The sequence below is a fragment of the Homo sapiens genome, chromosome 10 (assembly GCF_000001405.40).
Source record: "Homo sapiens chromosome 10, GRCh38.p14 Primary Assembly".
Taxonomy (NCBI): Eukaryota; Metazoa; Chordata; class Mammalia; order Primates; family Hominidae; genus Homo; species Homo sapiens.
Genome location: NC_000010.11, coordinates 108,309,649 through 108,323,250, shown reverse-complemented (window position 1 = coordinate 108,323,250; position 13,602 = coordinate 108,309,649). Strand labels below are relative to the sequence as shown.

At 35.7% G+C, this 13,602-nt stretch overlaps 1 annotated feature.

Annotated features, from left to right (window-relative positions):
* Positions 7,415-8,013: an enhancer, noted in NCBI's record as "NANOG-H3K27ac-H3K4me1 hESC enhancer chr10:110074996-110075594 (GRCh37/hg19 assembly coordinates)". NCBI's record gives its function as "activates a minimal SCP1, AML or CMV promoter by ChIP-STARR-seq in naive H9 embryonic stem cells {active_cell/tissue: H9 hESC(naive)}" and the evidence as "EXISTENCE:reporter gene assay evidence [ECO:0000049][PMID:30033119]".

Sequence of the window (13,602 nt, the reverse complement as noted above, 5' to 3'; positions counted from 1 at the left end):
TGCTTTCGCTGCTTCATTGCTGCATTTCATTCCTCTGCCTTTGTGCGTTCTGTTCAATCCTTTATTCAAAATGCCAAGGACCCGGAGAACTCCTAGTCAAGACCCTCCACTGGTAACACAAGGACCTAGAGATTTGTATTCAAAGTAATAAATTCTCTACGTCCTTGAGGCACTAGACTCAGCTTCAGTTTTCTTAGATTAATTTCATCTCTCAAAGTTGGCAGCAACCAAAACAGCCCTAGTACAAAGTACAGTGATGCCAAGTCTTCCTATGTTTGGGGGAGGCAATAAGGGTTAGTATTCTACCGCACAGTTAGGACAGATTGGCATGAGGCACCATCTATTGTGTGAGAGAAACATCAGCATCAAGGAAAAATGTAACAGTCTAACAATGGCTTTTATTAAAAATGTAGTTCTCATATCTTTAACCCTTATCTCACATGGATGATCTTTTACACTATGGAATGTTGTGGTTAATGAGCTTTTTTAACTGAAAAATGCTAAATTAGAAAAACATTCTACCTTCTATTAAAAAATCATCAAAGACCAAGTTCCTGCCTTGGTAATTAAACTCTAATACAAAATATTCATTATGGTACATTTCCGTCATTACCTGTGCCTGTGAGTCTGTGAATGTCTGTTGATACTCAGGAGGTGGTTCATTATAGTAATCTTATATTAAAATAACATCTTCTATCGAAGGAATCACTAAGCATGGTAAAAACTCTAGCCCATCACTATTCATGAATCTTTAGAGCTCTGCGTGAGATGAAACTGGAGATGAATTACTATGAGTTTCAACTCATTAAGGATTTGTTTTAATAATCATTTACTGTACGAATAAAAGAAACAATGACATAATTATTATTGAGATAAGCCACATGTGTCTCTGCAAGATATCATTATCCCCACTACTTGAAAACGTTATGCTCTGAATGGAATAACATGATGATGGAACAATGTAACAAGAATAGCACAAAGTCACAATTAATTGGCATACTTATGTATTCAAGTGCCTTATTTTGTTTTGTTGACAGTTGCTTTGTAAATTATCCATCAATTGTTTAATGTGCACGTGTTGTGTCCAGTTCTACCACCATGTTGTGAGATCTTTGAAGTAAATTTTCAGGCTCTCCGTGTTTGAAAATCTCCAAGAGTGTCTGGAACCTAATACAAGTACAAATCTAGTTTCTACACTAACTGAAAGATAAATGTGAAGTTAGAATAAAGGTGAAAAAATGGATTGACATAAAGTATGCAAGAATAATAGAAGATGATGCTCATGAAGAGGTTGGAGTGATAGGAATAAAAATCAGTAAAAATGAGGCAATCTGGTGATTAATTGGTTTACCTGCTAACAGATCATTGTGTCCTATGTGTAAGTTTAGAATAGCATATCCTACTATTTCTTAGCCCTGAGCACATAATGCATTTCCCAGATTTGAATCCATACCTTTTTTCCATTGTTTTACTAAATTCCAGGTATGAAGGTCCATGGCACTGGTATTAAGCATAATAAATAATGCAGAGTTGATAAATTAACAGCTATTTCTTGGTACCAAAAGAGTGTATTTGTTATTACATCCAAGCACTTGTACTGACCATCTAAAAAAACAAACAAAAGAGCAGTATTCCATTGTTTCCTACTCTGAATGAGATGTATATAGAAGTAAAAAGCAAAGTCATTAAGGGGAAAATTGAAAGTTGCATTTTTAAATTTGGGACTTTATTTTTCAAGTTTATGAATGTGTTATGACATTTTACATGCAAAAAGGAAATGATTAAGCATCTAAACTTGGACCTGGTAACCTGGGAATGTATTTATATTTGGCAGACACTAAGATGAGAAAAAAAATTGTGTGCGTACACACACACACACACACACACACACACACAAACACAACCACATTCTCAGATCCTCTGAGATTTTGTTTTATCTTGTTTCTTTGAAGGGTAGAGCTAAATTTCCCTGATAACATAAAAGCTGTTGAGGAATGAGAATATTCTGCATTGTGATTCTTTCTAATTTCCTGAATTGCTCCTAAAGCAGACCATTAGTACAGGGAAATTGGAGAACATGAAATGCACCATTAGTTTCTAATAACGTATGTAGATCCAGTGTTAAGACACACAGGGAGGATGGGAACCTTTGCAATTGGTCTCACTTTTGGGTCCACTGGGCTTCATAGCTGTGAAGCACTGAAACTGATCAACTGAGTTTCAGTCCCAGGGTCTCACCAGAAGCTAGACGTGATGGGGAAGTTTGTGTTAAATGGAAAGAAAGTAAGAATAATTTGAGATATTTGATCTGTGCCTTGAATGATAGTAGAAATCTACCAGCTGAGGAAGAGAAGTGTGTGGAAAGCCAAAAGGAAGGGCCCAAATAAGCACAGCTTCATTGGTAAACTGCAAGGTGTCTGCAGTGCCTGACAACCTGTTACTGACTCATGGGCCAGAGTGAAAGCACTGAGGTCCAGAAGGACACAGGTAAGCAGTGAACTAGGCTAGGGCCAAGGCAGATGCTCACAATCCAAAATTAGCAGTGCACCTCTAGTGAATAAGGCCCTTCAACCTACATAATGCAGTCCTACCATGTCAATCATTATCCTTGCTTAGAATCCCCTAGGTTTTCAACGGCTTCACTCCTGCGACCATTAGGGGCATCTTAGAAATCACTTAGTTAGAATAGATTGTAAGTAAATTGTGTTCCCTGACTTTGTTCTTCCTTTACAAAATTATTTTGGCTATTCTACATACTTTGCCTTTCCATATAAAATTTAGAAATGGCTTTTTGATACCTACGAAAATCCTGCAGTAATTTTTTTTTATCATGATTGCATTATCAGAGTCAGGAGAATTAATATCTTAATAATATTGATTTTTATAGCCCATAAGCACAGAATATGGGTTTGTTTATCTAGGCCATATTTGATTTTTAAAATCAGTGTTTTTTTCAGCATATAAATCTTACACATATTTGCTTAGATATACATGCATTTCATATTATTTAGGTATTCCATGAATTTCTGTAATATTATAAGTGATTCTTTTTAACTTTTAGTGTCCAATTGTTATTGCTAGTATAAAGAAATACAACAGATTTGTTTCCATTGACTTGTGCCTTTTGACCTTGCTAAACTGACTTTCTAGGTCTGATAACTATTGCCACACTCAGAGCTCTTGAGTGATTCTGGTTAACCAGCTTCCTCATGGACTTTTCCCCTTCCGTCCAATTCACATCAAAGATGAATCTTAGCCACCGTCCGATGTTTAAGCAGTTTATCCTGTCAGTGCTCCTACAAGATGGATACTAGGAGTAGACCTGTGGCATGAGCCAAGTACAGTCAGGGGTCGGATGACCTCCTGACCAGGAGGGTTTCAGTCAGAAGACTCTTCTTAGAGTTTGAAAGATTCTTCCACCTTTCTTATACCTGTATTTAGGCCAGATCAGTTACCAGGTGTTTCTCTCATAAAAAGAAGTTAATCTTTTCTTGTAAAGGTAAGCTTTGTTTTAAGGCTCATAAAAGTTTCATTCATGTTGAGGAAGCCTTGTCTCTAGGATAACCAAGGTTTTTAGGTCCCATTATTATAGAGGCCCTGTAATTCCCAGGCCAGGTTGCATGATGTTGCTAAGTGACACATAGTGTAGGCCCAGTGAGATATCTAAACAGGCTTTATGGCGATCATTAATCTTACAGCCACAATATGTTTCTTACTGCACTCTACAGAATTTTTGCTAGATCCTTTGGGATTTTCTACACCATCACGTTATTCTGAAGACAATTATATTTCTTTCTTACCAATTTTTATGTATATTTCTTGCATTATTGAGATGATAAGTCCTGCTGAATCATATCGAATAGCAAAATGTGAACATATTTTCTTTCTTCCTGAAGTTGGGGAAAAACATTAAGTGTTTAACAATTAAATATATTAATTAAATATGTTAAACACTTAATGTTTTTCCCCAACTTCAAGAACAAATATTCATTACTATTCAGCAGGAATGTTAATTAAATATGATAGCTGTAGATATTGTGTAGAAGTCTTTTATTAATCAGAGGTGATGTCCTGCTATCTTAGTTTGCTGAGGCTTTTCACCATGACTATGGATGTTAACTCTTTTCAAATGTTTTATATCATCTTTTTAGATGGTTGATTTTTCTTTTTTATTATGTTGCTATGGAGAATCACATTGATCTTTATTAGATGTTAAATCAACCTTGAATTTTCAGGATAAATATGACTAGGTCATAATATTTTTTTTAATGTATTGCTAGATAAAATTTGCTACTATTTTGTTGAGGGTTTGTGTTCCTATATTTATGAGGGAGATTGGTGTGTGATTTTCTTTTCTTGTAATGTTTTTGTCTGGTTTGGTATTAAGTAGAACTTGGCCCCATCAAATAAATTAGAATATTTTCTCTCTTTCATTCTTTGGAAGAGTTCTAATAGGGTTGGTATTTTCAAGAGAAGCCATTTAGCTCTGGGGTTTTCTTTGTTGGGAGGCTTTTAACTACAAATTTCATTTATTTAATATCTTTCTTTCTCTCCCTCAGATATAAATATGGTGCATACTATTAAATATTTCAATTGTTTTTAGAAGAAACATTAGTAGTTTGTGGCTTTCAAATAATTTGCCACTTTACATAATTTGTCACGCTACAGATACCCATGTGTTTGTAATATTCCCTTATTGTCCTTTTAGTATGTGTAAAGTTTGTTGCGATAGCTTCTTTTTCATTTTTTGTATTGGTGATTTTTACATTTAATTGGTTTTTAATCAATAAGTATTGGTTATATTTACATTTTGCAGTTTGTCCCATGTATTCTTATTTCCTTTCTCTTCCAGTTTTTTGTTGTATTGACTATAGTGTTTGTTTTTCAAAAATTATTTAATTTTACCTCCACAATTTGTTTTCTTATTCATATCATGTGCATACTTACACACTCATCTACATATGTATACACACAACACACACAAACTTTTAGTACTGACTCTAGGGTGTACAAAAGTACACCACAGTTTTAACTTGTCAAAGTCTGCAGCCAAATATATTATACATTTTTCTTGGTAATGTAAGCTATACACATCTACAGACTACTTCTCTTTATGTTTTCCATACTTTGTGATATCATCCAGTCTATCACAGATACATTAGACATTTACAACACATGTTATTACCATAATCTTTTAAGAAGTTGATAATAAACTGAGAAAAATATTTTATATTTATCTGTGCATTTAGTATTCCAGTGTTATTTGTGTAGATTCAAATTACACCTGTTATTATTTCTCTTCTGTGTCAAGAACTTAATTTAACATTTCTTGTAGTGCAGACTTGCTGGCAACAAATTCTTCCAGCTATTTTTTTTCTTTACAAATGTTACTGTTTCTTTATTTTTAAAAGACATTTCCACCTGGTATAAAATGTTCAGTTGACATATTTTATTTTGTTTTGTTATTCCATCAGCATATTAACAAATATCTTCTTGGTTTAAATCATTTTGGAAGAAATTCTATCTTTCTTACGTTTAGTCATCTGCAGATAATTCTTCATTTTTAATCTAGCTGTCTGAAGAGTTTCTTATTTTTATTAATTTTTGTCAATTAGATTACAAGTTTTCTTGGCATGTTTTTCTTTATTTTTATTTTGTTCGTGGTTCATTTTATCCTTTAAATTGGTACTAGTGACTAGTGATTAGCTAATCACAGTGACTAGCAAACTCTTTGTGTAATGGACAAAATAGTATCTATTTTGGGTTTTGTAGCCACATCGTGTCTCTGTACACATAAAAAAGTGTACATTTTCTTCCCAACAAAAGTGTAAAGTTAATTTATAGCTAAAAAGCCATACACAGTAGGCTTCACACTGAATTTGGCCTGCAGTTAGCACTGTGCCAATCCTGCTTTATCATGTTCATCACAAAATAACCATTGTTTCTATGAGTGTTTTTACTGTATTCCCCAATTTTCTGGTTCCTCTATTTCATGTATATTATGACACATGCTGTTGTCTCAAGATTTACCGATGCTTGGATCACTTCCTTATATTTTTAATCTGTAATTAATTTTACACTTTCTACTGGTGTATTGTGAATTTCTTAAAAAAAAAAATTTCCTTACTTGCCCTTGGTGTCTGGGGAAAACTTAGATAAAACAAAACAGGAAGAATCAGTTTCCTCTATATAGTTCATCTTCTGTTATCTCTCAATTAATATATATAATATATATAAATATATACTAATATAAATATGTTTATTATATATTATAATATGTTATATATTATACATAATATACAAGTATATAATAATACTATATAAATATATTTCTTATACATAAAATATATATATTTTAAAAATATATAATATAGAAATATTTATATATAAAATATATGAAAATATATACTTATGTGATATATTATAGAATATATTCTTATATGTTCATAGTATATAGTTAAATATTATATAAATACATATAATTATATATTATTTATAATATATAATAATTATATACATTTATTATATATAAGATATAAAACATAAACATAAAATATATTTATTATATATCATAATATATCATTATCTATAATGGATATGTAATATAATATAATAAATAAAAGATACATATATATATATAATATAAAAATAAATAAAACCCAGGAGTCAGAGTTTGCAGTGAGCTGAGACCATGCCACTGTACTCCAGCCTGGGTGACAGAGCAAGACTCCATCTCAGAAAATACGTATATATAAAATATATTTATAATATATATAATACATTATATTATAATTATGATAAAATATATAATTACGTAATATATTATAAAATATATAATTACATAATATATTATAAAATATATAATTACATAATATATTATAAAATATATAATTACATAATATATTATAAAATATATAATTACATAATATATTATAAAATATATAATTACATAATATATTATAATATAATTACATAGTATATTATAATATAATTACATAATATATTATAATATAATATATAATTACATAATACATTATAATATATTAAATATATTATAAATTATATTACAGTAATATATTATATATTAAAATATATTAAATATAATATATAGGAATAGGAACAGCTCCGGTCTACAGCTCCTAGCGTGAGCGACGCAGAAGCCAGGTGATTTCTGCATTTCCATCTGAGGTACCGGGTTCATCTCACTAGGGAGTGCCAGACAGTGGGCGCAGGCCAGTGTGTGCGCCCACCGTGCGCGAGCCGAAGCAGGGCGAGGCATTGCCTCACCTGGGAAGCGCAAGGGGTCAGGGAGTTCCCTTTCCGAGTCAAAGAAAGGGGTGACGGACGCACCTGGAAAATCGGGTCACTCTCACCCAAATATTGCGCTTTTCAGACCGGCTTAAAAAACGGCGCACCACGAGACTATATCCCACACCTGGCTCAGAGGGTCCTACGCCCACGGAAATCTCACTGATTGCTAGCACAGCAGTCTGAGATCAAACTGCAAGGCGGCAACGAGGCTGGGGGAGGGGCGCCCGCCATTGCCCAGGCTTGCTTAGGTAAACAAAGCAGCCCGGAAGCTCGAACTGGGTGGAGCCCACCACAGCTCAAGGAGGCCTGCCTGCCTCTGTAGGCTCCACCTCTGGGGGCAGGGCACAGACAAACAAAAAGACAGCAGTAACCTCTGCAGACTTAAGTGTCCCTGTCTGACAGCTTTGAAGAGAGCAGTGGTTCTCCCAGCACGCAGCTGGAGATCTGAGAACGGGCAGACTGCCTCCTCAAGTGGGTCCCTGACCCCTGACCCCCGAGCAGCCTAACTAGGAGGCACCCCCCAGCAGGGGCACACTGACACCTCACAGGGCAGGGTACTCCAACAGACCTGCAGCTGAGGGTCCTGTCTGTTAGAAGGAAAACTAACAACCAGAAAGGACATCTACACCGAAAACCCATCTGTACATCACCATCATCAAAGACCAAAAGTAGATAAAACCACAAAGATGGGGAAAAAACAGAACAGAAAAACTGGAAACTCTAAAACGCAGAGTGCCTCTCCTCCTCCAAAGGAACGCAGTTCCTCATCAGCAACGGAACAAAGCTGGATGGAGAATGATTTTGACGAGCTGAGAGAAGGCTTCAGACGATCAAATTACTCTGAGCTACGGGAGGACATTCAAACCAAAGGCAAAGAAGTTGAAAACTTTGAAAAAAATTTAGAAGAATGTATAACTAGAATAACCAATACAGAGAAGTGCTTAAAGGAGCTGATGGAGCTGAAAACCAAGGCTCGAGAACTACGTGAAGAATGCAGAAGCCTCAGGAGCCGATGCGATCAACTGGAAGAAAGGGTATCAGCAATGGAAGATGAAATGAATGAAATGAAGCGAGAAGGGAAGTTTAGAGAAAAAAGAATAAAAAGAAATGAGCAAAGCCTCCAAGAAATATGGGACTATGTGAAAAGACCAAATCTACGTCTGGTTGGTGTACCTGAAAGTGATGTGGAGAATGGAACCAAGTTGGAAAACACTCTGCAGGATATTATCCAGGAGAACTTCCCCAATCTAGCAAGGCAGGCCAACGTTCAGATTCAGGAAATACAGAGAACGCCACAAAGATACTCCTCGAGAAGAGCAACTCCAAGACACATAATTGTCAGATTCACCAAAGTTGAAATGAAGGAAAAAATGTTAAGGGCAGCCAGAGAGAAAGGTCTGGTTACCCTCAAAGGAAAGCCCATCAGACTAACAGCGGATCTCTTGGCAGAAACCCTACAAGCCAGAAGAGAGTGGGGGCCAATATTCAACATTCTTAAAGAAAAGAATTTTCAACCCAGAATTTCATATCCAGCCAAACTAAGCTTCATAAGTGAAGGAGAAATAAAATACTTTATAGACAAGCAAATGCTGAGAGATTTTGTCACCACCAGGCCTGCCCTAAAAGAGCTCCTGAAGGAAGCGCTAAACATGGAAAGGAACAACCGGTACCAGCCGCTGCAAAATCATGCCAAAATATAAAGACCATCGAGACTAGGAAGAAACTGCATCAACTAACGAGCAAAATCACCAGCTAACATCATAATGACAGGATCAAATTCACACATAACAATATTAACTTTAAATATAAATGGACTAAATTCTGCAATTAAAAGACACAGACTGGCAAGTTGGATAAAGAGTCAAGACCCATCAGTGTGCTGTATTCAGGAAACCCATCTCACGTGCAGAGACACACATAGGCTCAAAATAAAAGGATGGAGGAAGATCTACCAAGCCAATGGAAAACAAAAAAAGGCAGGGGTTGCAATCCTAGTCTCTGATAAAACAGACTTTAAACCAACAAAGATCAAAAGAGACAAAGAAGGCCATTACATAATGGTAAAGGGATCAATTCAACAAGAGGAGCTAACTATCCTAAATATTTATGCACCCAATACAGGAGCACCCAGATTCATAAAGCAAGTCCTGAGTGAGCTACAAAGAGACTTAGACTCCCACACATTAATAATGGGAGACTTTAACACCCCACTGTCAACATTAGACAGATCCATGAGACAGAAAGTCAACAAGGATACCCAGGAATTGAACTCAGCTCTGCACCAAGCGGACCTAATAGACATCTACAGAACTCTCCACCCCAAATCAACAGAATATACATTTTTTTCAGCACCACACCACACCTATTCCAAAATTGACCACATAGTTGGAAGTAAAGCTCTCCTCAGCAAATGTAAAAGAACAGAAATTATAACAAACTATCTCTCAGACCACAGTGCAATCAAACTAGAATTCAGGATTAAGAATCTCACTCAAAGCCGCTCAACTACATGGAAACTGAACAACCTGCTCCTGAATGACTACTGGGTACATAACGAAATGAAGGCAGAAATAAAGATGTTCTTTGAAACCAACGAGAACAAAGACACCACATACCAGAATCTCTGGGACACATTCAAAGCAGTGTGTAGAGGGAAATTTATAGCACTAAATGCCTACAAGAGAAAGCAGGAAAGATCCAAAATTGACACCCTAACATCACAATTAAAAGAACTAGAAAAGCAAGAGCAAACATATTCAAAAGCTAGCAGAAGGCAAGAAATAACTAAAATCAGAGCAGAACTGAAGGAAATAGAGACACAAAAAACCCTTCAAAAAATCAATGAATCCAGGAGCTGGTTTTTTGAAAGGATCAACAAAATTGATAGACCGCTAGCAAGACTAATAAAGAAAAAAAGAGAGAAGAATCAAATAGACGCAATAAAAAATGATAAAGGGGATATCACCACCGATCCCACAGAAATACAAACTACCATCAGAGAATACTACAAACACCTCTATGCAAATAAACTAGAAAATCTAGAAGAAATGGATACATTCCTCGACACATACACTCTCCCAAGACTAAACCAGGAAGAAGTTGAATCTCTGAATAGACCAATAACAGGCTCTGAAATTGTGGCAATAATCAATAGTTTACCAACCAGAAAGAGCCCAGGACCAGATGGATTCACAGCTGAATTCTACCAGAGGTACAAGGAGGAACTGGTACCATTCCTTCTGAAACTATTCCAATCAATAGAAAAAGAGGGAATCCTCCCTAACTCATTTTATGAGGCCAGCATCATTCTGATACCAAAGCCGGGCAGAGACACAACCAAAAAAGAGAATTTTAGACCAATATCCTTGATGAACATTGATGCAAAAATCCTCAATAAAATACTGGCAAACCGAATCCAGCAGCACATCAAAAAGCTTATCCACCATGATCAAATGGGCTTCATCCCTGGGATGCAAGGCTGGTTCAATATACGCAAATCAATAAATGTAATCCAGCATATAAACAGAGCCTAAGACAAAAACCACATGATTATCTCAATAGATGCAGAAAAAGCCTTTGACAAAATTCAACAAACCTTCATGCTAAAAACTCTCAATAAATTAGGTATTGATGGGACGTATTTCAAAATAATAAGAGCTATCTATGACAAACCCACAGCCAATATCATACTGAATGGGCAAAAACTGGAAGCATTCCCTTTGAAAACTGGCACAAGACAGGGATGCCCTCTCTCACCGCTCCTATTCAACATAGTGTTGGAAGTTCTGGCCAGGGCAATCAGGCAGGAGAAGGAAATAAAGGGTATTCAATTAGGAAAAGAGGAAGTCAAATTGTCCCTGTTTGCAGACGACATGATTGTTTATCTAGAAAACCCCATCGTCTCAGCCCAAAATCTCCTTAAGCTGATAAGCAACTTCAGCAAAGTCTCAGGATACAAAATCAATGTACAAAAATCACAAGCATTCTTATACACCAACAACAGACAAACAGAGAGCCAAATCATGAGTGAACTCCCATTCACAATTGCTTCAAAGAGAATAAAACACCTAGGAATCCAACTTACAAGGGATGTGAAGGACCTCTTCAAGGAGAACTACAAACCACTGCTCAAGGAAATAAAAGAGGACACTAACAAATGGAAGAATATTCCATGCTCATGGGTAGGAAGAATCAATATCGTGAAAATGGGCATACTGCCCAAGGTAATTTACAGATTCAATGCCATCCCCATCAAGCTACCAATGACTTTCTTCACAGAATTGGAAAAAACTACTTTAAAGTTCATATGGAACCAAAAAAGAGCCCGCATCGCCAAGTCAATCCTAAGCCAAAAGAACAAAGCTGGAGGCATCACACTACCTGACTTCAAACCATACTACAAGGCTACAGTAACCAAAACAGCATGGTACTGGTACAAAAACAGAGATATAGATCAATGGAACAGAACAGAGCCTTCAGAAATAATGCCGCATATCTACAACTATCTGATCTTTGACAAACCTGAGAAAAACAAGCAATGGGGAAAGGATTCCCTATTTAATGAATGGTGCTGGGAAAACTGGCTAGCCATATGTAGAAAGCTGAAACTGGATCCCTTCCTTACACCTTATACAAAAATCAATTCAAGATGGATTAAAGATTTAAACGTTAGACCTAAAACCATAAAAACCCTAGAAGAAAACCTAGGCATTACCATTCAGGACATAGGCGTGGGCAAGGACTTCATGTCTAAAACACCAAAAGCAATGGCAACAAAAGCCAAAATTGACAAATGGGATCTAATTAAACTAAAGAGCTTCTGCACAGCAAAAGAAACTACCATCAGAGTGAACAGGCAACCTACAACATGGGAGAAAATTTTCGCAACCTACTCATCTGACAAAGGGCTAATATCCAGAATCTACAATGAACTCAAACACATTTACAAGAAAAAAACAAACAACCCCATCAAAAAGTGGGCGAAGGACATGAACAGACACTTCTCAAAAGAAGACATTTATGCAGCCAAAAAACACATGAAGAAATGCTCATCATCACTGGCCATCAGAGAAATGCAAATCAAAACCACTATGAGATATCATCTCACACCAGTTAGAATGGCAATCATTAAAAAGTCAGGAAACAACAGGTGCTGGAGAGGATGTGGAGAAATAGGAACACTTTTACACTGTTGGTGGGACTGTAAACTAGTTCAACCATTGTGGAAGTCAGTGTGGCGATTCCTCAGGGATCTAGAACTAGAAATACCATTTGACCCAGCCATCCCATTACTGGGTATATACCCAAATGACTATAAATCATGCTGCTATAAAGACACATGCACATGTATGTTTATTGCGGCATTATTCACAATAGCAAAGACTTGGAACCAACCCAAATGTCCAACAATGATAGACTGGATTAAGAAAATGTGGCACATATACACCATGGAATACTATGCAGCCATAAAAAATGATGAGTTCATGTCCTTTGTAGGGACATGGATGAAATTGGAAACCATCATTCTCAGTAAACTATCGCAAGAACGAAAAACCAAGCACCGCATATTCTCACTCATAGGTGGGAATTGAACAATGAGATCACATGGACACAGGAAGGGGAATATCACACTCTGGGGACTGTGGTGGGGTCGGGGGAGGGGGGAGGGATAGCATCGGGAGATATACCTAATGCTAGATGACACGTTAGTGGGTGCAGCGCACCAGCATGGCACATGTATACATATGTAACTAACCTGCACAATGTGCACATGTACCCTAAAACTTAAAGTATAATTAAAAAAATAAAAATAAAAAAAATATATATAATATATAATAGTAATACATAATATATATTATAATATGTAACATGATATATAATCATATATTATAATTATATGTAATATATAATATATAATTATATATTATATATAATACATAATATATACCTATATACAATATATAAATATGATATGTAATTATATATTATAATATAGTATAGATTACTATAATATGAGATTACTATAATATATAATTATATATTATATTGTAAATATATTGCAATATAAAATTATACATCATATATCCAAATATATTTTATATTTATATACATATTTTTTGAGATGGAGTCTCACTCTGTCACCCATACTGGAGTGTAATGGCATGATCTCAGCTCACTATAACCTCTGCCTCCTAGGTTCAAGCACTTGTCCTGTCTCAGCCTCCTAAGTAGCTGGGACTACAGGCACCTGCCACCAAGCCCGGCTAATATTTTTGTATTTTTAGTAGGGAC